Source organism: Homo sapiens, chromosome 9, assembly GCF_000001405.40.
Source record: "Homo sapiens chromosome 9, GRCh38.p14 Primary Assembly".
Classification (NCBI taxonomy): Eukaryota; Metazoa; Chordata; class Mammalia; order Primates; family Hominidae; genus Homo; species Homo sapiens.
In genome coordinates this window covers 125,233,361-125,259,979 of record NC_000009.12, presented here as the reverse complement: position 1 = coordinate 125,259,979, position 26,619 = coordinate 125,233,361, and the positions used below count along the sequence as shown (strand labels likewise).

At 45.1% G+C, this 26,619-nt stretch overlaps 2 protein-coding genes and 1 long non-coding RNA gene across 11 annotated transcripts in view, besides 8 other annotated features; 1 reads left to right on the top strand and 2 right to left on the bottom strand.

Moving 5' to 3' along the window:
- Window positions 1,581-1,839: a silencer, noted in NCBI's record as "fragment chr9:128020420-128020678 (GRCh37/hg19 assembly coordinates)". NCBI's record gives its function as "represses an EF-1alpha promoter that drives an FKBP-Casp9 reporter gene in an ReSE screen in HepG2 liver carcinoma cells {active_cell/tissue: HepG2}" and the evidence as "EXISTENCE:reporter gene assay evidence [ECO:0000049][PMID:32094911]".
- HSPA5-DT (HSPA5 divergent transcript) lies at window positions 2,909-18,324 on the bottom strand. The gene is made up of 3 exons (NR_186826.1): window positions 17,917-18,324; window positions 5,309-5,402; window positions 2,909-3,016 (listed from the first exon to the last, which is right to left on the bottom strand). It is a non-coding gene; the product is annotated as an HSPA5 divergent transcript (long non-coding RNA).
- Window positions 13,236-13,530: an enhancer, noted in NCBI's record as "tiled region #12295; K562 Activating DNase matched - State 5:Enh". NCBI's record gives its function as "activates a minimal TATA promoter and a strong SV40 promoter by Sharpr-MPRA in K562 cells {active_cell/tissue: K562}" and the evidence as "EXISTENCE:reporter gene assay evidence [ECO:0000049][PMID:27701403]".
- Window positions 17,998-18,502: an enhancer, noted in NCBI's record as "NANOG-H3K27ac-H3K4me1 hESC enhancer chr9:128003757-128004261 (GRCh37/hg19 assembly coordinates)". NCBI's record gives its function as "activates a minimal SCP1, AML or CMV promoter by ChIP-STARR-seq in naive and primed H9 embryonic stem cells {active_cell/tissue: H9 hESC(naive and primed)}" and the evidence as "EXISTENCE:reporter gene assay evidence [ECO:0000049][PMID:30033119]".
- Window positions 17,998-19,007: a biological region, named in NCBI's record as "NANOG-H3K27ac-H3K4me1 hESC enhancers GRCh37_chr9:128003252-128003756 and GRCh37_chr9:128003757-128004261".
- Window positions 18,039-18,348: an enhancer, noted in NCBI's record as "active region_29001". NCBI's record gives its function as "activates an Ori minimal core promoter by ATAC-STARR-seq in GM12878 lymphoblastoid cells {active_cell/tissue: GM12878}" and the evidence as "EXISTENCE:reporter gene assay evidence [ECO:0000049][PMID:35858748]".
- Window positions 18,316-18,610: an enhancer, noted in NCBI's record as "tiled region #7891; HepG2 Activating non-DNase unmatched - State 1:Tss, and K562 Activating DNase unmatched - State 1:Tss". NCBI's record gives its function as "activates a minimal TATA promoter and a strong SV40 promoter by Sharpr-MPRA in HepG2 and K562 cells {active_cell/tissue: HepG2 | K562}" and the evidence as "EXISTENCE:reporter gene assay evidence [ECO:0000049][PMID:27701403]".
- Window positions 18,503-19,007: an enhancer, noted in NCBI's record as "NANOG-H3K27ac-H3K4me1 hESC enhancer chr9:128003252-128003756 (GRCh37/hg19 assembly coordinates)". NCBI's record gives its function as "activates a minimal SCP1, AML or CMV promoter by ChIP-STARR-seq in naive H9 embryonic stem cells {active_cell/tissue: H9 hESC(naive)}" and the evidence as "EXISTENCE:reporter gene assay evidence [ECO:0000049][PMID:30033119]".
- On the top strand, window positions 18,637-25,127 carry HSPA5 (heat shock protein family A (Hsp70) member 5). The gene is made up of 8 exons (NM_005347.5): window positions 18,637-18,975; window positions 19,073-19,304; window positions 19,671-19,808; window positions 20,447-20,559; window positions 20,649-21,039; window positions 21,153-21,390; window positions 21,672-21,839; window positions 22,826-25,127. The coding sequence occupies exons 1-8, from the start codon at window positions 18,854-18,856 to the stop codon at window positions 23,386-23,388; spliced, it is 1,965 nt and encodes a 654-aa protein (NP_005338.1). The 5' UTR covers window positions 18,637-18,853; the 3' UTR covers window positions 23,389-25,127.
- Window positions 19,149-19,228: an enhancer, noted in NCBI's record as "active region_29000". NCBI's record gives its function as "activates an Ori minimal core promoter by ATAC-STARR-seq in GM12878 lymphoblastoid cells {active_cell/tissue: GM12878}" and the evidence as "EXISTENCE:reporter gene assay evidence [ECO:0000049][PMID:35858748]".
- RABEPK (Rab9 effector protein with kelch motifs) overlaps window positions 25,819-26,619 on the bottom strand; it is a 33,620-nt gene continuing 32,819 nt past the window's right edge. For all 9 annotated transcript variants that reach the window (NM_005833.4, XM_017014177.2, NM_001174152.2 and 6 more), the window contains one exon: window positions 25,819-26,292. In NM_005833.4, the coding sequence (NP_005824.2) occupies window positions 26,000-26,292 (293 nt within the window). In that variant the 3' untranslated portion in view covers window positions 25,819-25,999. The remainder of the gene's footprint in view (window positions 26,293-26,619) is intronic.

The window sequence follows — 26,619 nt, the reverse complement described above, 5'->3', positions numbered from 1 at the left end:
TGGCTCACGCCTGTAATCCCAGCACTTTGGGAGGCCGAGGTGGGCGGATCATGAGGTCAGGAGATCGAGACCATCCTGGCTAACACGGTAGAAACCTGTCTCTACTAAAAATACAAAAAATTAGCCGGGCATGGTGGCAGGCGCCTGTAGTCCCAGCTACACGGGAGGCTGAGGCAGGAGAATGGCGTGAACCCGGGAGACGGAGCTTGCAGTGAGTGGAGATCGTGCCACTGCACTCCAGCCTGGGCGACAGAGCGAGACTCTGTCTCAAGAAAAAAAAAAAAAGAAAAGAAATAAGCAAGAGGATACAATTTACAATCTAGGGTAGGATGAAACTGCCACAGATTAAGGATCATCATAATAAGCCAAGGTACAAAGCATTCTGAGATTCTCAGAGAGAATGGCCTTTTCAAGTTGAGGGTTCATGACCTTATGGAAGAGGTGACAGTTAGGAGTTACTGGATGGCTGGATTTCAAGACAAGAGATGGCATTCGTGGACTGCTAAGGAAGAACTCAGCCTTAGCAAAACCACATTCACAGTGGGCTCTGGAACACTGCGTCTGGGTAGGCTGGAGCACCCAGGCCAGGGAGGAAGGGAAGGAGAGGCCCCAAAAGTTGCAAAAGAATCTTCAGGGAAGCTGCATTGCATGTGAGAAGTAAAAAAGGAACTAGAATGGTCAGTTAATCTTCTGAGCCCTGTTCTGTCACCTACAAATGAAGAACTTGAACTAACAAGCAATTTTCTTTTTTTTTTCCAGTCAGCACACTCAAGGAATTCAAATCTCCTGCTAGAACTATGGATCACTACAACAGTGATTCTTGGGAAATATGGAATAGGTATTATTTTCATCCCTTTTACAAATGGGAAAGTAAACTCAAGAGGTGAAAATTTGCTCAAAATCAATAAGTAGTACTCACTGAGGGCAGATCACTGTCTCCCTAGAACCTGGCATACTGCCTAGAATGTAATGTTTGTTTTTTGTTTTTTAAATGAATGGATGAATACACAGTAAACTCTGTCCAAAGCCCCTTTCTTTCCATACACAACTCAGTCTTCCCTGACATAGAAGGATATGAAGTTACTTGTTCATGGTCACAAAATTCATACTGGACCTTGTGTAGAGTTTAGTTCTTCAGCCTCCCAACTCCATACTCTATTAAACTACTCTGCCTTAGAATCGCAAAACATTTTTTTTAATGTTCTTTTTCCTTCTATGTGTACACAGCCAGTCTTAGAAGTAAGCCAAGAAAGCAGATGCTATGGCCAAGTGATTTAAGGGGCCTCTGGCAAGTATTTCTGGACAAAAAAACACTTTATCCCCAGGTCCCTCAAAGGCCCCCAAACTTCATCACTTATATTGAATCACAAATGTTAACTTGAGGTGAAAATTTAAACCAACACATAGTCCCTGAGGGCGCAGACTCCATCTTATTCACCACTGGGCGTACTGCCTAGAATGTAATAATTTGTCTACATTTTTATTTTAGAAATAGGTCTTGCTATGTTGCCCAGGCTAGAATGCAGTAACTATTCACAGGTGCTATCGTGAGGGCTCAAGGGATCCTCATGCCTCAGCTTCCTGAGTACCTGGGACCACAGGCTTGCACCGCTGTGCTGGGCTCGCCTGTTTGTTTTTTGTTTTGTTTTGTTTTGTTTTGTTTGAGATGGAGTCTCACTCTGTTGCCCAGGCTGGAGTGCAGTGGAATGATCTCAACTCACTGCAACCTCCACCTCCTGGGATCAAGCAGTTCTCATGCCTAATCCTCAGCTGGGATTACAGGTGCACGCCACCATGCCTGGCTAATTTTTCTTTTTCTTTTTCTTTTTTGAGACAGAGTTTCGCTCTTATTGCCCAGGCTGGAGTACAATGGCACGATCTCGGCTTACCACAACCTCCGCCTCCCAGGTTCAAGCAATTCTCATGCCTCAGCCTCCCGAACAGCTGGGATTACAGTTCGGGCCACCATGCCCGGCTAATTTTTTTTTTTTTTTTTATGGAGTTTCGCTCTTGTTGCCCAGGCTGGAGTGCCATGGCGCGATATCAGCTCACCATAACCTCCGCCTCCCAGGTTCAAGTGATTCTCCTGCCTCAACCTCCAGAGTAGCTGAGACTACAAGCGCACGCCACCATCCCTGGCTAATTTTTGTATTTTTAGTTCAGACAGGGTTTCACTATGTTGGCCAGGCTGGTCTTGAACTCCTGACCTCGTGATCTGCCCGCCTCGGCCTCCCAAAGTGCTGGGATTACAGGTGTGAGCTACTGCGCCAGCAAATTTTGTATTTTTAGTAGAGACGGGGTTTCTCCATGTTGGTCAGGCTGGTCTCGAACTCCCAACCTCAGGTGATCTGCCCACCTCAGCCTCCCAAAGTGCTGGAATTACAGGTGTGAGCCATCCATCAAGACCAAAAAGTAACATTGTTTAAGTTACAATACATCTACACTTAAGAAAGAAATATGAGAGTTAAGTGAGACCAAACCATACCAGAAAGAAAAACAGGCCATAAGAAATAAAGATTACAGAGAAAGAGGAAGACAAAAGGGAAGAAACAAGGACTTCACCTATGACATGATTTTATTTCAGCAGTCCCTAACCTTTTTGGCACCAGGGACTGGTTTTGTGGAAGACAGTTTTTCCAGGAAATGGTGGTAGGGGGTGGAGGAGGTCGGGGGGATGGTTTCGGGATGAAATTGTTACACCTCAGATAATTAGGCATTAGATTCCCATAAGGAGTGGACAACCTAGACCCCTTGCATACGCAGTTCACAATAGGGTTCGCACTCCTATGATAATCTAATGCCATTGCTGATCTGACAGGAGGCAGAGCTCAGGTGGTAATGCTCACTTACCCACCACTCACTTCATCCTGTGCTGCTCCATTCCTAACAAGCCACAGACGGGTACCAGTTCACGGCTCTGGGGTTGGAGACCCCGATTTATTTGGCACACAGTTTGGAAAGGAAAATGCTGTGAAATAGTAGTACACGCTTGACTGTGGAAAGATTAGGGCCACATCTGGAAGAGTCAAGCAAATTATAAACTAGGCAGTAAGTAAATACAGCAATAACATGAATAGAAATCATAATTTTACCATTAAAAAACTCTAAAATAGTTTTCATCGTTTATTTACTTTTTGAGACAGGATCTCGCTCTTTCACCCAGGCTAAAGCTCAGTGACACCATCACTGCTTACTGCAGCCTCAACCTCCCTGGCTCAAGCCATCCTCCCACTTCAGCCTCCAGAGTACCTGGAACTTCACACATGCGAAGTCCCTTCACTGTGCCTGGCTAATTTTTTTATTTTTTATACAGACAAGATCTCACTGTGTTGCCCAGGCTGGTCTCAAACTCCTGGACTCAAGTAATCTTCCTGCCTCGTCCTCCTAAAGTGCTGGGATTACAGGCAGGAACCACCACACCCAGCTTTTTTTTTTTTTTTTTAATTCTGAGACAGGGTCTCTCTCTGTCACCCAGGCTAGAGTGCAGTGATGTAATCACAGCCCACTGCAACCTCTACTTTCTGGGCAGGGCTCAAGCAATCCTCCTGCCTCAGCCTCCTGAGTACCTGGGATCATATGCACGCACCACCATGCCTGGCTAACTTTTTTATTTTTTGTAGAGATGAGGTTTTGCTGTGTTTCCCAGGTTAGAGCTCTAGGAATCCTGCAAGCAAAAAAATCCAGTAAGACCCAGGTGGTAGAAAGTATTCCTTAAAAAAATACTTTTCACTTTGGAGCAATTAATTTGTTCCCGTCATAGCCACAGTCCATGTTCTGGGTCATTGGTGGTCCTACACTGGCCCCCACTGGCAGGCTCAGAAATAATAATACTGAGATCCATGAAGCTGATGGAGCTTATGATTTAGGGCCCCTCACTTGCCTGGAGACTCTTCAAAGATCCTAGCAATGTATTCACAGTCATATGGCTTTGCAACATTTAGCAAGGAGTTAAAATTATCAGCTGGCCGAGTGCACTGGTTCTCACCTGTAATCCCAGCTATTCAAGATGCTGACTCAGGAGAATTGCTTGAGCCCAGGAGCTTGAAGCTACAGTGAGCTATGATTTTACCACTGCACTCCATCCTGGGCAAAAGAGCAAGACTTAGTCTCTAAAAAAATTTCTAAATAAAAAAATTTTAAAAAAAACCTGAGAAAACTGAAAATGAGGAAAGTGGCTCCTATAGAACAGGCTTATGAATCCTGCAACTCAAAGACTTCAGCCAAATGAAGTCTACTGTAATCCTTATTTTTCTACAAGTACCAGGGACATCCAAACTGATAGGAGCTGTAATTCTTTGTTGTTTTTTAGAGAGAGGGTCTCACTGTGTCACCCAGGCTGGAGTGCAGTGGCACAATCATAGCTAACTGCAACCTCAAACTCCTGGGCTCCAGTGATCTTCCTGCCTCATGCTCCCAAGTAGCTGGAACTAGAGGCACTCTCCATACACGTGGCTAATTTTTTAACTTTTTGTAGAGACAGGGTGTTGCTATGTTGCCCAGGCTGGTCTTGAACTCCTGGGCTCCAGCAATACTGATGGCTCACACTCCACACTGCTGGGATTACAGGTATGAACCACCATGTCTGGCCCAGGAGCTGTAATGTTAATGCAACATAAAAGTGGTATATTACAGCCGGGCGCGGCGGCTCACACCTGTAATCCCAGCACTTTGGGAGGCCGAGGCGGGCGGATCACGAGGTCAGGAGATCAAGACCATCCTGGCTAACACGGTGAAACCCCGTCTCTACTAAAAATACAAAAAATCAGCTGGGCGCGGTGGCGGGCGCCTGTAGTCCCAGCTACTCGGGAGGCTGAGGCGAGAGAATGGCGTGAACCCGGGAGGCGGAGTTTGCAATGAGCCGAGATCGCGCCACTGAACTCCAGCCTGGTCGATAGAGCAAGACTCCGTCTCAAAAAAAAAAAAAAAAGTGGTATATTACTTGTATTTGAATTTAACCCATCGTTCATTATAACATATGAAATATCTTACCTTGGCCGGGTACAGTGGCTCACGCCTGTAATCCCAGCAATTTGGGAGGCCAAGGCAGACAGATCACTTGAGGTCAGGAGTTCAAGAACAGCCTGGCCAACATGGTGAAACTCTGTCTCTACTAAAAATACAAAAATTAGCCGGGCATGGTGGTGGGCACCTGTAATCCCAGCTACTCAGGAGGCTGAGGCAGGAGAATCGCTTGAACCTGGGAGACGGAGATTTCAGTGAGCTGAGATGGTGCCACTGCACTCCAGCCTGGGTGAAAGAGAGAGACTCTGTCTCAAAAAAAAAAAGGAAAGGAAAAAAAAAGTCTTACCTTAATGCAATTATATATCTTTCACTGACAATCTTTTTGTTCTCTTGCATTACTTTTACTTTTCTTTTTAAAGATCTTCAAGCTTGATAAGGTCCTAATAGATAAACAGATGTTTAAATAAAAAGAAGATGTAGATGAAAAAACTAACAATTTACTTTTTTTTTTTAAGGCTATTCAAGTGAAGCAGTGGAGTGGACATAATTTACTTTTTGAAAAACATAAAAATCAGCAATTTTTTCCTCCATCCCCTCCTATCCAAAAATCAGCAATTTTAATGGTTCCTGAATATTTTATCATACTGATGTACTGATGTATCCTTCTTTTTTATTTTTTTATTTATTTATTTTTGGTTTAGACAGAGTATCTCTCTGTTGCCCAGGCTGGAGTGCAATGGAGTGATCTTGGCTCACTGCAACCTCTGCCTCCCAGGTTAAAGTGATTCTCCTGCCTCAGCCCCCCGAGTACCTGGGATTTCAGGCACGCACCACCATGCCTGGCCAATTTTTGTAGTTTTAGTAGAGACAGGGTTTCACCATATTGGCCACACTGGTATTGAACTCCTGACCTCAAGTGATCTGCCTGCCTCGGCCTCCCAAATTGCCAGCATTACAGGCATGAGCCACTGCGCCCAGCCATACTGAAGTATCCTAATTTTTCACTTCAAAATGGAAATTTTTTATTTCTGATGACAAAACTCCATCTCTACTAAAAATACAAAAAAATCAGCCGGATGTGGTGGTGCATGCCTGTAATTCCAGCTACTTGGGAGGCTGAGGCAGGAGAATCGCTTGAACCCAGGAGGCTGAGGTTGTGGTGAGCTGAGATCATGCCATTGCACTCCAGCCTGGGCAACAAGAGTGAAACTCCGTCTCAAAAAAAGAAAAAAAAGGAAAAAATAATAAAGCAGATTACTCAAAAGTATGATAGTACTATACCATTTATTATTTATTTATTTTTTTTTGAGACAGGGTTTTCGTCTTCCACCCAGGCTGAAGTGCAGTGGTGTGATTGTAGCTCATTGCAGCCTCAAACTGCTGAGCTCAACTGATACTCCCGCCTCAGTCTACTAGCTGGGACTACTGGTGTGCACCACTGTGCTTGGTTAATTCTATTATTATTATTATTTTATTTTTATATTTTTGTAGAGATGGCGTCTCGCTATTTGCCCAGGCTGCTCTCAAACTCCTGGCCCCAAGTGATCCTCACACCTTGGCATCATAAAGCACTGGGAACACACCTTGCCCAGCCTACAATATTTTTTTCTTTTTTTTGAGACGGAGTCTCGTTCTGTTGCCCAGGCTGGAGTGCAGTGACAAGATCTTGGCTCACGGCAAGATCTTGGCTCACTCCAACCTCCGCCTCCTGGGTTCAAGTGACTCTTCTGCCTCAGCCTCCTGAATAGCTGGGACTACAGGTGCCTGCCACCATGCCTGGCTAATACTTTGTATTTTTAGTAGAGATAGGGGTTTCACCGTGTTAGCCAGGGTGGTCTTGATCTCCTGACCTCGTGATCTGCCCGCCTCGGCCTCCCAAAGTGCTGGGATTACAGGCATGAGCCACTGCGCCAGGCCCTGCTTTTTTTTTTTTTCTAACTTAACAATATGTAACAGGTTTGGTTTGTGAACTTGATAGACTGATTCTAAAACTTACATGGAAATACAAAACGCCAAGAATAGTCAGAAACATTCCTGAAGAAGAAGAGCAATGTGGAAGCACTTGTTCTAAACGATATCAAGACATCATAAAGCACTCTGAGTATACAGATTTAAAAAATAAGTAAGTAAATAAATAAATACATCAGAAAGCTATAGTGAGACAAAGTTTGGCTGGGCATGGTCCTGATTACAAAGTCCTGTAATCCCAGCACTTTGGGAGGCCAATGTGGGCAGATCACATGAGGTCAGGAGTTCGAGACTAGCCTGACCAACATGGTGAAATCTCATCTCTAACAAAAATACAAAAAAATTAGCCGGGTGTAGTGGCACACACCTGTAGTCCCAGCTATTCGGGAGGCTGAGGCAGGAGAACCGCTTGAACCTGGGAGGCGGGGGTTGCAGTGAGCTGAGATTGCGCCATTGCACTCCAGCCTGGGTGACAGAGTGAGACTCTGTCTCAAAAAAAAGAATATCTTTTTTTTTCTTTTTTTGAGAAAAGAAAACTACTTGGGAAGCTGAGGCAGGAGATCACTTGAACCCAGGAGGAGAAGGCTGCAGTAAGCTGAGATTACACCACTGTGCTCTGATCCTGTCTCAAAAAAAAAAGGCCGGGCCCAGTGGCTCACACCTGTAATCCCAGCACTTTGGGAGGCCAAGGCGCGTGGATCGCGAGGTCAGGATATTGAGACCATCCTGGCCAACACGGTGAAACCCATCTCTACTAAAAATACAAAAATTAGCTGGGTGTGGTGGCACGTGCCTGTAGTCCCAGCTGGCTAAGGCACAAAAATTGTTTGAACCCAGGAGACAGAGGTTGCAGTGAGCCGAGGTCATGCTACTGCACTCCAGTCTGGTGACAGAGCAAGACTCCATCTCAAAAAAAAAAAAAAAAAAAAATTAAAACATCCAGCGTGGCCAGGCACGGTGGCTCATGCCTGTTATCCTAACACTTTGGGAGGCTGAGGTGGCTAGATCACTTGAGGTCAGGAGTTCAAAACCAACCTGGCCAACATGGTGAAACCAACCCCGTCTCTACTAAAAATACAAAAAAAAAATAAAATAAAATAACCGGGCGTGGTGGCGGGCGTCTGTAATACCAGCTACTCGGGAGGCTGAGGCAGGAGAATCACTTGAACCCAGGAGACAGAGATTGCATTGAGCTGAGGTCATACCACTGCACTCCAGCCTGGGCAATAGAGCGAGATTCCGTCTCAAAAATATATATAATAAAATAAAATTAAAAAATAAAACATCCGGCACATCATACATAAAGGGTAGCTACTCTTTACATATCAACAAAAGGCAGCTCCAGCTGGACGCAGTGGTGCACACCTGTAATCTCAGCCCTTTGAAAGGCCTACGCGGGTGGATTGCTTGAGGTCAGGAGTTCAAGACCAGCCTGGCCAACACAGTGAGACCCCCCCCCCCCCGCCACCGATCTCTACTAAAAATACAAAAATTAGTCGGGCTTGGTGGTGCATACCTGTAATCTCAGCTACATAGGAGGCCGAGGCAGGAGAATTGCTTGAACCCAGGAGGCAGAGGTTGCAGTGAGCCGAGATCACACCATTGCACTCCAGCCTGGGCAACAGAGCAAAACTCCATCTCAAAAAAAAAAAAAAAAGGCAGCTCCACAGGTACTGATTTGTGACAATCTCCAAGAAATGCAGTTAATTGAATAAAGACACAGAACCATATATGCACTATGCTTCAGTGCTCCATCACTGGTTTTAAAACATGGATATGGCCGGGCGCGTGGGCCCACCTGTAATCCCAGCACTTTGGGAGGCCGAGGCAGGTGGATCACCTGAGGTCAGAAGTTCAAGACCAGCCTGGCCAGCATGGTGAAACCCCATCTCTACTAAAAATACAAAATTAGCTGTGTGTAGTGGTGCATGCTTGTTATCCCAGCTACTTGGGAGGCTGAGGCAGGAGAATCACTCAAACTCAGGAGGTGGAGGTTGCAATGAGCCAAGATTGTGCTACTGCACTACAGCCTGGGAGACAAGTGTGAAACTCCATCACAAAAAAAAATTAATTAAAAAAAATTAAAACATGGGTATACTCAGACACACACACACACACGTGTGTGTGTGTGTGTGTGTGTGTGTGTAGATATACATATATAATTTTTTTTTTTTGAGACAGAGTCTTGCTCTGTTGCCCAGACTGGAGTGCAGTGGTGTGATCTTGACTCACTGCAACCTCTGACTCTGAGGTTCAAACAATTCTCCTGTCTCAGCCTCCTGAGTAGCTGGGATTACAGGCGCATGCAACCATGTCTGGCTAATTTTTGTATTTTTAGTAGAGACAGGGTTTCACCATCTTGGCCAGGCTGGTCTGGAACTCCTGACCTCGGGTGATCCGCCCACCTTGGCCTCCCAAAGTGCTGGGATTACAGGCATGAGCCATGGCGCCTGGCCTACATTTTTTGTATGAATAAAACATTTCTAGGCCGAGTAGGGTGGTTCACACCTGTAATCCCAGCACATTAGAAGGCTGAGGCAGGAGGATTGCTTGAGCCTGGGAGTTCGTGATTAGCCTGGGCAACATAGTAAAGCATTTCTACAAAAAATGAAAAAATTATGGCCAGGCACAGAGCCTCATGCCTATAATCCCAGCACTTTGGGAGGCCGAAGCATGCGAACTGCTTCAGCCTAGGAGTTCAAGACCAGCCTGGACAACACGGTGAAACCCTATCTCTACAAAAAATAAAAAAAATTAGCTGGGGGTGATGGCGCATGCCTGTAGTCCCAGCTACTTGGGAGGATCATTTGGGCCCAGGAGATTGAGGCTGCAGTAAGCCATGATCTGGCCACTGCACTCAAGCCTGAGCAACAGAGTGAGATGTTGTCTCTAAATAAATAAAATTTAAAAATTATCTGGCCATGGTAGTGCACACCTGTGGTCCCAGCTACTCAGGAGGCTGAGGCAGGAGGATCACTTGAGCCTAAGAGGTCAAGGCTTCAGTGAGCCGTGATCATTCCAGTGCACTCCATCTCAAAAAATAAAATAGATAGGCCAGGTGTGGTGGCTCATGCCTGTAATCCCAGCACTTCGGGAGGCCAAGGTGGGCAGATCACAAGGTCAAAAGTTCGAGACCAGCCTGGCCAATATGGTGAAACCCCTTCTCTACTAAAAATACAAAAATTAGCTGGGCATGGTGGTGGGCGCCTGTAGTCCCAGCTACTCAGGAGGCTGAGGCAGGAGAATCGCTTGAACCCGGGAGGCAGAGGTTGTGGTGAGCCGAGATAGAGCCACTGCACTCCAGCCTGGGCAACAAAAGTGAAACTCTGTCTCAAAAAATAAAAATAAATAAATAAATAAAATAAATAAAACAGGAAAACACACACACACACACGTATTGTGTGTGAATAAAACATTTCTAAGCTGGCCACAGCAGCTTATGCCTATAATCCCAGCACTTTGGGAGGGTGAAGCAGGGGGACTGTTTAAGGCCAGGAGTTCAAGACCAGCTTGGGCAACATAGCTATACCCTGTCACTACAAAAAATAAATTGCCGGGCATGGTGGCTCACGCCTGTAATCCCAGCACTTTGGGAGGCTGAGGTGGGTGGTTCACAAGGTCAGGAGTTCGAGATCAGCCTGGACAAGATGGTGAAACCCCATCTCTACTAAAAATACAAAAATTAGCCGGATGCGATGGCAGGCACCTGTAATCCCAGCTACAGGTTGGGATCCGGCTGAGGTAGGAGAATCGCTTGAACCCGGGAGACGGAGGTTGCAGTGAGCCAAGATTGTGCCATTGCACTCTAGCCTAGGCGACAGAGCAAGACTCCATCTCAAAAAAAAAAAAAAAATATTAGTGCTGTGTGGTGGCAGACACCTGTAGGCCCAGCTACCCAGAAGGCTGAGACAGAGGATTGCTTGAGTCTGGGAGATGGGGGCTGCAGTGAACTGTGATTGAGCCACTGCTTTCCAGCCTGGGCAACAGAGTGAGATCTGTCTCGAAAAAAATAATCAATTAAAAAGTAAAACATTTCTAGAAGGCTCCACAAGAAAGTGGTTACAGTGGTTCCCTCTATCAGTGTAGGGGAACAGGGCTGAGGACTGAGTGGCAGGGAGACTTATTGGACCCTTTGAATTTTATGCCTTGTATATACATTTACTATTTTAAAAATTTTAAATTTAAGGCCAGGTGCAATGGCTCATGCTTGCAATCCCAGCACTTTGGGAGGCTGTGGCAAGCAGATTGCTTGAGCCCAGGAGTTGGAGACCAGCCTGGACAACATAGTAAAACCCTATCTCTAAAAAAAAAAAAAAAAAAAAAGAGGAAGGAAAGAAATGAGAAAAGAAAAACAATTTAAATTTAAGATATATCAAATATTATCAAATTCTATACAGGTAGCTCGTCATTTTTTTTTTTTTTTTTTTGAGATGGAGTCTCGCTCTGTCACCCAGGCTGGAGTGCAGTGGCATGATCTTGGCTCACTGCAAGCTCCACCTCCCAGGTTCACGCCATTCTCCTGCCTCAGCCTCCTGAGTAGCTGGGACTACAGGTGTCCGCCACCACGCCCGGCTGATTTTTTGTATTTTAGTAGAGACGGGGTTTCACCGTGTTATCCAGGATGGTCTCGATCTCCTGACCTCGTGATCCGCCCGCCTTGGCCTCCCAAAGTGCTGGGGTTACAGGTGTGAGCCACCGCGCCCGGCCAGCTCTTCATATTTTGCAGCTTATTTTACTTCAAAGGAAACTATAAGACAGAAGGAAGAAAAATTAAAAGTAGTATTTTGGCCGCGTGTGGTAGCTCATGCCTGTAATCCTAGCACTTTGGGAGGCTGAGGCAGGAGGATTGCTTGAGGCCAGCAATTCAAGACCAGCCTGGGCAATAGAAGGAGACCCTGTCTCAAGATAAAAGAAAGAAATTTAAAAAATAAAAGTAGCATTTTTTTATATAAAATTAAGTGCTTTCCAGTTAAACACTTTTTGAGACAGTCTTCCTATTTCTCCCAGGGTAGCCTCAAACTCCTAGGCTCAAGCAATCCTCCTACCTCAGCCTCTGGAGTAGCTAGGACTACAGGGGGTGCCATCACACCCAGCTTCACTTTTACTTATATTACCTTATTTCTTTTCTGTTGTTCTTATTTTTCTTTTTAAGTTTACATGGACATCTCTAATACCGTATATTACCTTACTTGATCATGACAACAGTCTTGGCCAGGCACAGTGGCTCACATAATCCCAGCACTTTGGGAGGCCAAGTCAAGCAGATCACTTGAGCCCAGGAGTTCAAGACCAGCCTGGACAACATGGTGAAACCCTGTCTCTACAAAATATACAAAAATTAGTAGGCTGTGGTGGTGTGTGCTTGTAGTCCCAGCTACTCGGGGGGCTGAGGCCAGAGGATGGCTTGAGCCTGGGAGGTTGTGGCTGCAGTGAGCCATAATGGCACCATTGCACTCCAGCCTGGGTGACAAAGTGAGACACTGTCTCAAACAAACAAAAACCAGCCTTGTTAAGTGGCAGAATTATATCCATTTTACACACTCATAAACAGAGCCTCAGAGAGATTGACTTGCCATAAGTTACACAGCCAGTAAGTAACACAACTGGAACTCAAATAGTTTTAGCGCTTCCAAATCCTATGGTCTTGCCTCTCTTTTACGTTATCTAACACAGTGTGCCCTCCTAAATGCCTTCGGCACACACGCACAAAATGTGATAGAAAATGCACTATTTCTATGTATGTGTGGAGAAGGGAAAGTTCTCTATTATAAATTTACTTTTAGAAACTGAAGACAAGGAAGGAAATTAATTGCATAGCACATTGTACTTTCAGAAGTACCAAAAAAAATAAAATACATGATTTATACCTACTATTGCTTCTGGCTCAGGTGTTAAGGTGACACTTTTGTTTTATTCGAGAGTTGTTTGATGAAGGGTGAATAAATTATTCTTAGCACCTTAATAAAGACATCTATGTGGGCTGGATGCAGATGGCTCACAACTGTAATCCCAGCACTTTGGGAGGCCAAGGCGGGCAGATCACGAGGTCAGGAGTTTGAGACCAGCCTGGCCAACATGGTGAAACCCCTGTCTCTACTAAAAATCCAAAAATTAGCTGGGTGTGGTGCTGTGTGCCTGTAATCCCAGCTACTCGGGAGGCTGAGACAGGAGAATTGTTTGAACCCAGGAGGCGGAGGTTGCAATGAGCCGAGATTGCACCACTGCCCTCCAGCCTGGGCAACAGAGCAAGACTCTGTCTCGAAAGAAAAAAAAAGACATCTATGTGACCAATATAGGATTAATTAGATGTACCATTTATTTTTTATTTTTTGAGAGGTGTTTTCCTTTGTTGTCCAGGCTGGAGTGCAGTGGCACAATCATTGCTCATTGCTGCTTCAAACTCCTGGGCTCAAGTGATCCTCCCACCTCAGCTTTCTGAGTATCTGGAACTACAGGCACGCACCACAATGACTGGCTAATTTTTAAATATTTTCACAGAAGGAGGCGATCTCTCTGTTTTGCCGAGGCTGGTCTCAAACACCTGGCCTCAAGTTTCCTTCCACCTCGCCCTCCCAAAGTGGTGGGACTATGGGCATGAGCCGCTGCACTTGGCCTTACTTCTAAAATTTCTTCTCACGTTATATTTCTATGATTAGCAATGGCATTACCACTGTTCTACAACCTTCACACTACTTTCACATACAATATCTCATTTGATCCTTGAAGCAGTCCAGTAAGACAGGCAGGACAGAAATTCCTGACATTCAATAGATTAAGAATCTGAGCTTGGCTGGGCGTGGTGGCTCACGCCTATAATCCCAGCACTTTGGGAGGCCGAGGCGGGCAGATCACCTGAGGTCAGGAGTTCAAGACCATCCTGGCCAACATGGCAAAACCCCATCTCTACTAAAAATACAAAAATTAGCTGGGCATGATGGTGTACCCCTGTAATCCCAGCTACCAGGAGGCTGAGACAGGATAATCGCTGGAACCGGGGAGGCAGAGGCTGCAGTAAGCCAAGATCATGCCACTGCACTCCAGCCTGGGCAACAGAGCAAGACTCTGTCTCAAAAAAAAAAAAAAAAAAAAAAAAAAAAACTGTGGCTCTGAGAAATTGGTTTTTGTCAAAGTTATGTGCCTTATCACCTAGTTGAATGTTCTCTCTAACAAAACATGTGGAAAATTCTCAATTATCAGGATCTAAATGTTAATATTAAACTTGTAAATTACATAGGTCCTTTCCTTTTTCTTCCTGCTGGATGCTTGTCATTTATTATTAGTCCTCTTTCACAAAGGAAGATTTATTTTTTACTTTTTATTTTTGAGGCAGAGTTTCGCTCTGTCGCCCAGGCTAGAGTGCAGTGGCGCAATCTCAGCTCACTGCAAGCTCCACCTCCTGGGTTCACACCATTCTCCTGCCTCAGCCTCCTGAGTAGCTGGGACTACATGCGCCCGCCACCGTGCCCGGCTAATTTTTTGTATTTTTAGTAGAGACGGGGTTTCACCGTGTTAGCCAGGATGGTCTCGATCTCCTGATCTCGTGATCCACCCGCCTGGGCCTCCCAAAGTGCTGGGATTACAGGCGTGAGCCACCGCGCATGGCCACAAAAGAAGATTTAAGAGCTAAATGACATCCAATCCTAATAAGTCTTACCTCTGCTTAATTAGCTTTCTGAGATCAGGTAGGAAATGGAAAGCAATTTTTTTTTTTTTTGAGAGAGAGTTTCGCTCTTGTTGCCCAGGCTGCAGTGCAATGGCATGATCTCAGCTCACCTCAACCTCCGCCTCCCGGGTTCAAGTGATTCTCCTGCCTCAGCCTCTCGAGTAGCTGGGATTACAGGCATGAGCCACCACGCTGGGCTAATTTTGTATTTTTAGTAGAGACGGGGTTTTCCATTTTGACCAGGCTGGTCTCGAACTCCCGACCTCAGGTTATCCGCCTGCCTCGGCCTCCCATAGTGCTGGGATTACAGGTGTGAGCCACCAGGCCCAGCCTGGAAAGCAATTTTCTTACCCATAGGAGCACAAGTGAAATGGGCTGGTTTAAATTTCTGGATAAAAATTTATATTTGCATATCATCTGTTATCAAAATATTTACAAAATGTGTAACTGGAGCTGGATGTGGTGGCTCATTCCTGTAATTCCCACACTTTGGAAGGCTGAAGTGGGAGGATTGCTTGAGGCCAGGAGTTTGAGACCAACCTGGTTAATGTAGCTAGACCCCATATCTATGAAAATTATAAACTTTAAATTTAAAACCCAAAATATGTGACTACTCTATATCCTAAAACAAAATGTAAGGTTTTTTTTTTTTCTTTTTAGACAGTCTCACCCTGTTGCCCAGGCTGGAGTGCAGTGGTGCGATCTTGGCTCACTGTGACTTTCGCCTCCCAGGTTCGAGTGGTTCTCATGCCTCAGCCTCTCGAGTAGCTGGGATTACAGGCGTGTGCTACCATGCCCAGCAAATTTTGTATTTTTATTAGAGATGGAGTTTTGCCCTGTTGGCCAGGCTGGTCTCGAACTCCTGACCTCAAGTGATTCACCCACCTTGGCCTCCCAAAGTGCTGGGATTACACATCTGAGCCACCATGCCGAAACCCAAAATTAAGTCTTATAAATCTGAAGCTCAAGATGACAACCTATAGAGGTTAAAAATCAAACTGCCAAGGCTCAAATACTGGCTCATTATCTTAGGTGTGCAATCTCCTGGGCAAGTTTCTTTACCTCTTGGGGCTTCAGATTCCTTCACTCTAAAATAGGGGTAAGAAAAAAATGCTTTTTTGTTTGTTTCTTTTTGTTTTTGTTTTTGTTTTTGTTTTGAGACAGAGTCTCGTTCTGTGGCCAGGCTGGAGTGCAGTGGTGCGATCTCAGCTCACTGAACCTCCGCCTCCCAGGTTCAAGCGATTTTCCTGCCTCATCCTCTGAGTAGCAGTAGCTGGGACTATAGGCGCGCGCCACTACACCCAACTGATTTTTGTATTTTTAGTAGAGACTGGGCACCATGTTGGCCGGGATGGTCTCGATCTCTTGACCTCGTGATCCGCCCACCTCGGCCTCCCAAAATACTGGGATTACAAAAAACTGCTTTCTTAAAGATAAAAAGAGATAATGCACGTACGTCTTTAGCACAGTGTCTAACAGTTAAGTATTGATAACTTGACCTGGATATTATTTTTGGCATTTAATGTTCAGCAAGCTAGTTTTGACCATGTACTTTCCTATTCGTAAGTGACTGTGCTTTGGAATATACTAGAAAATGTATGTAAAATGTCTGGTTTTAAAAAGATGAAACCACAATATATTCAATTCCCTTTGGAAGTTAGCCATGTATCGCTTTTCTAAATTTTACAAAAAGGAGAGTTACAAAACGTTACTCTGTTAATCAAGGATAAGGCTGAAATGGAGAGTTTTTTTTTTTAATGGAAATGGACTGCACTATAAAAACATTTGATTGAAATGAAAGAAGCTGTAATGTGGTCAAATGATGATTTCTATCTTAATGCTGGACTGATGCAAGCCAAAGAAGGGTCAATGTTGCCGCAGGATTACAAGCCCTGCTGAAAGAGATGCATGATGCAACCTCTGTAGTGAACAGAGTCAACTCTTGAGTCACCAGTCTAACCTTTGAGAAGCACTAAGGAAAAAGAAAATTCTTGAGTACTGAGTCACAGGCTCAACATCTTAATAAAGTGTGTTTAGGATGTTTTAGTGGTATCTGGACACAGTATACCCATGAATCTCAAATATTTCATATCAGAGCTTTGCCCTTTCCATAGTAGGTCCTCCAAAAACATTCCTCAAACAAATGAATTTTTTTTTTTTTTTTGAGATGGAGTCTAGCTCTGCTGCCCAGGCTGGAGTGTAGTGACGTGATCTCGGCTCACTGCAACCTCCACCTCCCGGGTTCAAGCGATTCTCCTGCCTCAGCCTCCCGAGTAGCTGGGACTACAGGCATGCACCACCACGCCCAGCTAATTTTTGGATTTTTATAGAGATGGGGTTTCATCGTGTTACCCCGGATGGTCTTGATCTCCTGACCCCGTGATCCGCCCACCTCGGCCTCCCAAAGTGTTGGGATTACAGGCGTGAGCCACCACGCCCGGCCACAGATGAATTTTTTGTTTTAAAGTTAAGAGATCAGGCACAGTGTCTCACACCTGTAATCCCAGCACTTTGGGAGGCCGAGGTGGGCAGATCGCTTGAGGTTGGGAGTTCGAAACCAGCCTGGCTAAAATGGTGAAACCTCATCTCCACAAAAAAAAAAAAAAAAAAATTAGCCAGGCATGGTGGTGCGTGCCTGTAATCCCAGCTACTCAGGAGGCTGAGGCAGGAGAATCGCTTGAACCCCGGAAGCGGAGGTTGCAGTGAGCTGAGATTGCACTACTGAACTCCAGCCTGGGCGTGACAGAGTGATACTCCGTCTTGAAAAAAAAAAAAGTATTGGCAATAGAGTGAACTCCACCTGGTTATCAATCCTAACTCCATCACTCACCAGCTCTGTGACTTGTTTAGTTATTTAATCTTTTTCAGTTTCAATGTCCTCATCTGGAAAACGGGAAATGCCTACCGAGTATTGAACTGTCAAGACTAAATGACACATGAAAAGCACACTGAACAATGCTTAATCCACGGTAGGCTTTCAGCAAATAGTGGTCTCTATTATTTTTTGCAACAGGATGTTATATAAGAATAAGGCATTATCAAGACGATTTTCGCCTATCAAATGTGTTGTCTGCGTGTACATCAGACCTTTTCCTGGAATGAAGGTAGAAAAGTATCAACAATAAAGGATGGAGAAAGCCCCGTAAATGATAACCTTTGCCCCAGAGGGAAAGGATGGGCAGCGGAGGGGAAAGTAAAGGGTGGCAAGCTAGAAAAATTAGACATCCAGTGTGGGAGGGCTGGCACTGGAGTGGGTTGCCACAGTAGGGAGGGGACTCAGAGCTGGAGGCAATTCCTTTGGCCGGGCTTGTCCTGCGACTTACCGTGGGGCAGCGCAATGTGGAGAGGCCTGGTAAAATGGCTGGGCAAGGGTGCGGAGGGGACATAACTGGCAGGAAGGAGTCATGATTCGTGGTCGAACAGAGTCCAGACCAGCTCGACCTGTGAGCAACGAACGGCCCTGAGACTCGCATACCCCAATACCGGTAGTGGCCGTGAAGGGCAAAGAAATGTGTTCTGAGGCGATCCCAGCATCTAAGCTGCGACTGGTCTACTCAGAGACTGGATGGAAGCTGGGAAGAGAAAGCTGCTTCCCGCTTCGGGGTGAGGGATGGAGGAAGGGAGAACAAGCAGTAGAGAAGAAAAAGTTTCAGATCCCACAGCCCCGGGGGGTCACTCCTGCTGGACCTACTCCGACCCCCTAGGGCCGGGAGTGAAGGCGGGACTTGTGCGGTTACCAGCGGAAATGCCTCGGGGTCAGAAGTCGCAGGAGAGATAGACAGCTGCTGAACCAATGGGACCAGCGGATGGGGCGGATGTTATCTACCATTGGTGAACGTTAGAAACGAATAGCAGCCAATGAATCAGCTGGGGGGGGCGGAGCAGTGACGTTTATTGCGGAGGGGGCCGCTTCGAATCGGCGGCGGCCAGCTTGGTGGCCTGGGCCAATGAACGGCCTCCAACGAGCAGGGCCTTCACCAATCGGCGGCCTCCACGACGGGGCTGGGGGAGGGTATATAAGCCGAGTAGGCGACGGTGAGGTCGACGCCGGCCAAGACAGCACAGACAGATTGACCTATTGGGGTGTTTCGCGAGTGTGAGAGGGAAGCGCCGCGGCCTGTATTTCTAGACCTGCCCTTCGCCTGGTTCGTGGCGCCTTGTGACCCCGGGCCCCTGCCGCCTGCAAGTCGGAAATTGCGCTGTGCTCCTGTGCTACGGCCTGTGGCTGGACTGCCTGCTGCTGCCCAACTGGCTGGCAAGATGAAGCTCTCCCTGGTGGCCGCGATGCTGCTGCTGCTCAGCGCGGCGCGGGCCGAGGAGGAGGACAAGAAGGAGGACGTGGGCACGGTGGTCGGCATCGACCTGGGGACCACCTACTCCTGGTAAGTGGGGTTGCGGATGCAGGGGGACGGGGCGTGGCCGCCTGGCCTGGCGTGAGAAGTGCGGTGCTGATGTCCCTCTGTCGGGTTTTTCTGCCAGCGTCGGCGTGTTCAAGAACGGCCGCGTGGAGATCATCGCCAACGATCAGGGCAACCGCATCACGCCGTCCTATGTCGCCTTCACTCCTGAAGGGGAACGTCTGATTGGCGATGCCGCCAAGAACCAGCTCACCTCCAACCCCGAGAACACGGTCTTTGACGCCAAGCGGCTCATCGGCCGCACGTGGAATGACCCGTCTGTGCAGCAGGACATCAAGTTCTTGCCGTTCAAGGTTCGACCGGGTTTTTCTCATCCAGTTAGAGAACGGGTGGGTGGTGGGAGTATTTAGAGTTATAAGTCTCTGGAAAAGTGTTGAGACAACAGTTGAAGGTTATAGACATGATGTATGTAATAACTTTAATACTATTAGTATGTTACAAAACTTAAGACAGTTGCTGTCGTACTGTCTACGATAGTTTAGGAATAAAAGACCGATTAAAACTGAACTTTGTAAGACACCTATACTCCCTGAAGTATTTCTAGTCAATTTGCAGCCCCAAGGGACCAAAATAAACCAAATTGTGGGGATGGTAGTGGGTCTTTTAAACTTTGAGATGTCATTGTATCTGTGTCTGAAAACAATAATTCTTTAAAATAGGTGGTTGAAAAGAAAACTAAACCATACATTCAAGTTGATATTGGAGGTGGGCAAACAAAGACATTTGCTCCTGAAGAAATTTCTGCCATGGTTCTCACTAAAATGAAAGAAACCGCTGAGGCTTATTTGGGAAAGAAGGTAAATATTTCTAGAACAATGTTAAGTATTTTTTGATCATTAGTATTCTCGGTTGGCTGTTATGTATAGAAGCCTTCGTGAAGGGTTTCAAAAATTTTAATCAGAATGGTATTCATGCTTGTCAGGTTTAATTATTGAGTCCCTTACTATAAGCCAAACAAAATAGACTTTTCATGTATTATTTAATGCTTACAATTCCAGGGACATAAAATTTTATATGTTGTATTCATCAATAAGTTGGCTTAAAAACTAAAGTGATGGTTTGACTGTAATTTTTTTTTTTTGAGATGGAGTCTTGCTCTGTTGCCCAGGCTGGACTGCAGTGGCACGATCTCAGCTCACTGCAACCTCTGCCTCCCGGGTTCAAGCAGCTCTCCTGCCTCAGCCTCCCAAGTAACTGGAACTACAGGCACACCACCACACCTGGCTAATTTTTTTTTTTTTTTTTAATTTTCAGTAGAGACAGGGTTTCTCCACATTGCCCAGGCTGGTCTTGAAATCCTGCCCTCAGGTGATCCTCCTGCCTCAGCCTCCCAAAGTGCTGGGATTATAGGCAGAAGCCACCGCCTGGCCAGACTGTAATTTAAATAAGGGTTAAACTATGTGACAATACACTTAATTATCTTTTATCCTTTTAGGTTACCCATGCAGTTGTTACTGTACCAGCCTATTTTAATGATGCCCAACGCCAAGCAACCAAAGACGCTGGAACTATTGCTGGCCTAAATGTTATGAGGATCATCAACGAGCCGTAAGTATGAAATTCAGGGATACGGCATATTTGCCAAATAGTGGAAATGTGAAGTACTGACAAAACTTTTCCCTTTTTCAATCTAATAGTACGGCAGCTGCTATTGCTTATGGCCTGGATAAGAGGGAGGGGGAGAAGAACATCCTGGTGTTTGACCTGGGTGGCGGAACCTTCGATGTGTCTCTTCTCACCATTGACAATGGTGTCTTCGAAGTTGTGGCCACTAATGGAGATACTCATCTGGGTGGAGAAGACTTTGACCAGCGTGTCATGGAACACTTCATCAAACTGTACAAAAAGAAGACGGGCAAAGATGTCAGGAAAGACAATAGAGCTGTGCAGAAACTCCGGCGCGAGGTAGAAAAGGCCAAACGGGCCCTGTCTTCTCAGCATCAAGCAAGAATTGAAATTGAGTCCTTCTATGAAGGAGAAGACTTTTCTGAGACCCTGACTCGGGCCAAATTTGAAGAGCTCAACATGGTATGTTCCTTGTTTTCTGCTTTGCTAATGAGATCTCCTTAGACTCTGAATTCAGGACATTGCATCTAGATACTTAGATAACAGACATCACAGTAACCATGTCTTTTTTCTAGGATCTGTTCCGGTCTACTATGAAGCCCGTCCAGAAAGTGTTGGAAGATTCTGATTTGAAGAAGTCTGATATTGATGAAATTGTTCTTGTTGGTGGCTCGACTCGAATTCCAAAGATTCAGCAACTGGTTAAAGAGTTCTTCAATGGCAAGGAACCATCCCGTGGCATAAACCCAGATGAAGCTGTAGCGTATGGTGCTGCTGTCCAGGCTGGTGTGCTCTCTGGTGATCAAGATACAGGTAGGTCATCATCGCAGCATCTTTCTTAGTGATTCAGTAGCTTGATGGAAGACTCATTAGCTATTGCTTTAGAAAATACCAGAATATGAGCAACAAGGTCACACAGCTAGTAAAGGGTATAAGTGAAGACAAGACTGGGGTAGTCTCAAGATCATTAGCAACTGTTTAATTCACTGCCTTTAAAATGTGTGTGTTAGAACCTAACCAAATGTTAGAGAGATAAACTTTACATAGCTCATAGGGAGAACTTGAATTAAAAGTTAAATAACTTATCCTTACAGGTGACCTGGTACTGCTTGATGTATGTCCCCTTACACTTGGTATTGAAACTGTGGGAGGTGTCATGACCAAACTGATTCCAAGGAACACAGTGGTGCCTACCAAGAAGTCTCAGATCTTTTCTACAGCTTCTGATAATCAACCAACTGTTACAATCAAGGTCTATGAAGGTAATTACTTAAGTTTGTTAATATCATGGCTTTTTTTTTGAGATGAAGTCTTGCTCTGTTGCCCAGGCTGGACTGCAGTGGCACGATCTCGGCTCACTGCAAATTCTGTCTCCCGGGTTCAAGTGATTCTCCTGCCTCAGCCTCCAGAGTAGCTGGGATTACAGGCGTGGACCACCACACCTGGCTAATTTCTGTATTTTTAGTAGAGATGGGGTTTCACCATGTTTCCCAGGCTGGTCTCCAACTCCTGACCTCAGGTCATCTGCCTGCCTCCACCTCCCAAAGTGCTGGGATTATAGGCGTGAGCCACCACGCCAGATCTATCTATCATGGCATATTTTAAAAGAACATGACTTAATATGTCCTATTGAAATGGCTAGGGAACTAAGTAACTGCTGTTTTCAGATGGAGGTCTTAATTTGAATAATGTTGATATTAGATATTTAGCATTCTTTTTTTTTTTTTTTTAATGGAGTCTTGCTCTGTCGCCTAGGCTGGGGTGCAGTGGCATGACTTGCAACCTCTGCCTCCCGAATAGCTGGGATTACAGGTGCCCACCATCACGCCCGGCTAAGTTTTGTATTTTTAGTAGAGGCGGAGTTTCGCCATGTTGGCCAGGCTGGTCTTGAACCCCTAACCTCAGGTGATCCACCGACCTCGGCCTCCCAAAGTACTGGGATTATTACAGGTGTGAGCCACTGTACCCAGCCAATGATTAGCATTCTCACTAATAATAGCATCTGAGCTGGCTCCTAGAGTACAAGAAAAAGGAGTTCACAGTACTTTAAAATAGATAAAATTCAGTTGAGTTAGTAACCTAACTCATTGTTAGTACTAGTTGCTGCTCCTTGTAGACCAATATGAAATTACTTTTAGCTCGATAAAACCAAAAGTGTCACTTTATGCTTCAGACTGAAATGCGGGGATCTAGATGTGCTAATGCTTGTCAGTAACAACTAACAAGTTTTTCTGTATGTAACTTCTAGGTGAAAGACCCCTGACAAAAGACAATCATCTTCTGGGTACATTTGATCTGACTGGAATTCCTCCTGCTCCTCGTGGGGTCCCACAGATTGAAGTCACCTTTGAGATAGATGTGAATGGTATTCTTCGAGTGACAGCTGAAGACAAGGGTACAGGGAACAAAAATAAGATCACAATCACCAATGACCAGAATCGCCTGACACCTGAAGAAATCGAAAGGATGGTTAATGATGCTGAGAAGTTTGCTGAGGAAGACAAAAAGCTCAAGGAGCGCATTGATACTAGAAATGAGTTGGAAAGCTATGCCTATTCTCTAAAGAATCAGATTGGAGATAAAGAAAAGCTGGGAGGTAAACTTTCCTCTGAAGATAAGGAGACCATGGAAAAAGCTGTAGAAGAAAAGATTGAATGGCTGGAAAGCCACCAAGATGCTGACATTGAAGACTTCAAAGCTAAGAAGAAGGAACTGGAAGAAATTGTTCAACCAATTATCAGCAAACTCTATGGAAGTGCAGGCCCTCCCCCAACTGGTGAAGAGGATACAGCAGAAAAAGATGAGTTGTAGACACTGATCTGCTAGTGCTGTAATATTGTAAATACTGGACTCAGGAACTTTTGTTAGGAAAAAATTGAAAGAACTTAAGTCTCGAATGTAATTGGAATCTTCACCTCAGAGTGGAGTTGAAACTGCTATAGCCTAAGCGGCTGTTTACTGCTTTTCATTAGCAGTTGCTCACATGTCTTTGGGTGGGGGGGAGAAGAAGAATTGGCCATCTTAAAAAGCGGGTAAAAAACCTGGGTTAGGGTGTGTGTTCACCTTCAAAATGTTCTATTTAACAACTGGGTCATGTGCATCTGGTGTAGGAAGTTTTTTCTACCATAAGTGACACCAATAAATGTTTGTTATTTACACTGGTCTAATGTTTGTGAGAAGCTTCTAATTAGATCAATTACTTATTTTAGGAAATTTAAGACTAGATACTCGTGTGTGGGGTGAGGGGAGGGAGTATTTGGTATGTTGGGATAAGGAAACACTTCTATTTAATGCTTCCAGGGATTTTTTTTTTTTTTTTTAACCCTCCTGGGCCCAAGTGATCCTTCCACCTCAGTCTCCCAGCTAATTGAGACCACAGGCTTGTTACCACCATGCTCGGCTTTTGCATTAATCTAAGAAAAGGGGAGAGAAGTTAATCCACATCTTTACTCAGGCAAGGGGCATTTCACAGTGCCCAAGAGTGGGGTTTTCTTGAACATACTTGGTTTCCTATTTCCCCTTATCTTTCTAAAACTGCCTTTCTGGTGGCTTTTTTTAAAATTATTACTAATGATGCTTTTATAGCTGCTTGGATTCTCTGAGAAATGATGGGGAGTGAGTGATCACTGGTATTAACTTTATACACTTGGATTTCATTTGTAACTTTAGGATGTAAAGGTATATTGTGAACCCTAGCTGTGTCAGAATCTCCATCCCTGAAATTTCTCATTAGTGGTACTGGGGTGGGATCTTGGATGGTGACATTGAAACTACACTAAATCCCCTCACTATGAATGGGTTGTTAAAGGCAATGGTTTGTGTCAAAACTGGTTTAGGATTACTTAGATTGTGTTCCTGAAGAAAAGAGTCCAGGTAAATGGTATGATCAATAAAGGACAGGCTGGTGCTAACATAAAATCCAATATTGTAATCCTAGCACTTTGGGAGGCCAAGGCGGGTGGATCACAAGGTCAAGAGATAGAGACCATCTTTGCCAACATGGTGAAACTCCATCTCTACTGAAAATACAAAAATTAGCTGGGCGTGGTAGTGCAAGCTGAAGGCTGAGGCAGGAGAATCACTCGAACCCGGGAGGCAGAGGTTGCAGTGAGCCGAGATCACACCACTGTACTCCAGCCCGGCACTCCAGCCTGGCGACAAGAGTGAGACTCCACCTCAAAAAAAAAAAAAAGAATCCAATACTGCCCAAGGATAGGTATTTTATAGATGGGCAACTGGCTGAAAGGTTAATTCTCTAGGGCTAGTAGAACTGGATCCCAACACCAAACTCTTAATTAGACCTAGGCCTCAGCTGCACTGCCCGAAAAGCATTTGGGCAGACCCTGAGCAGAATACTGGTCTCAGGCCAAGCCCAATACAGCCATTAAAGATGACCTACAGTGCTGTGTACCCTGGGGCAATAGGGTTAAATGGTAGTTAGCAACTAGGGCTAGTCTTCCCTTACCTCAAAGGCTCTCACTACCGTGGACCACCTAGTCTGTAACTCTTTCTGAGGAGCTGTTACTGAATATTAAAAAGATAGACTTCAACTATGTGTCTGATGTCTATAGTTTGTTGTTTACCAATTATAATTCTGCAACTTCTTTTTTAACCCTAACCATATTGCAACTTTGTGATTAGCATTTAATACACAAATCACACCTACCTAGGTTTGTATTGTTGGCAAAACCTTTTATATATATATATATGTATACATATATATGTGTTTATGTATACATATATAAATACATGTATATATAAATATGTATACATATATATGTATACATATAAATATACTATATATGTATACATATATATGTGTGTATATATGTATATATATATATATTTTTTTTTTTTTTGAGACAGAGTTTCGTTCTTGTCACCCAGGCTGGAGTGCAATGGTGTGATCTCAGCTCACCGCAACCTCCGCCTCCCGGGTTCAAGCGATTCTCCTGTCTCAGCCTCCTGAGTATCTGGGATTACAGGCATGGGCCAGCACACCCGGCTAATTTTGTGTTTTTAGTAGAGACGGAGTTTCTTCATGGTAGTAAGGCTGGTTTTGAACTCCCGACCTCAGGTGATCCACCTCCTCAGCCTCCCAAAGTGTTGGGATTACAGGCGTGAGCCACCAAGCCTGGCCCAAAGCCTTTTATGTTAATGCAGTGGAGGTTTTTGCATTGGGCAAAACTTATCTATCTACCACAGTTTGCAAACCAGTCACTGAAAGTCATTCCCAAGAGCTCTGAGAGGCAATATAGCAAGGTTTAGTGCACATAAGAATTATTTGCATTAGTTTCTTCACCTACCAAAGTAGGAGAAAAACAGATATATAATGCAGAAGATATTTTGGAGGTATAAAACAGCTAATGTTTTACTTAACTATTCTGAAAGTAACTGACAGGTAATAAAAATGTGGGTTTTATTAGTCCACTACAGTCACAATACAATCGTCATAGATTTCCCCTTCTGTATTCATCCCACCAAACACCAAACAGAGCAGTGTAGCAGTCTGGCTTTCCTCATGTGAGTCACCACTGTGGCTCATTACTTTGTCAGCTGAATCCTCTTTCTCAGCTTCATGGTTCAGAGTGAGAGAGTTGGAATCTTCTTTCTCAGAAGCACACGTCACTGGCCATGGAATGATACACATGGAATGGTCCAATCGTCCAGGGGGTAGAAGAGTATCAAATTTAAGCAAGGTCCAATGCTGCTCTTCTATGTTGGGGAGGGAAAAGGCTTCATGTTAAGAAATTTCCAGATAGGCCGGGCACGGTGGCTCACGCCTGTAATCCCAGCACTTTGGGAGGCCGAAGCGGGTGGATCACGAGGTCAGGAGATGGAGACCATCCTGGCTAACACGGTGAAACCCCGTCTCTACCAAAAATACAAAAAAAAAATTAGCTGGGCATGGTGGCGGGCACCTGTAGTCCCAGCTACTCGGGAGGCTGAGGCAGGAGAATGGCGTGAACCCAGGAGGTGGAACTTGCAGTGAGCCAAGATCACGTCACCGCACTACAGCCTGGGCGACAGAGTGAGACTCCA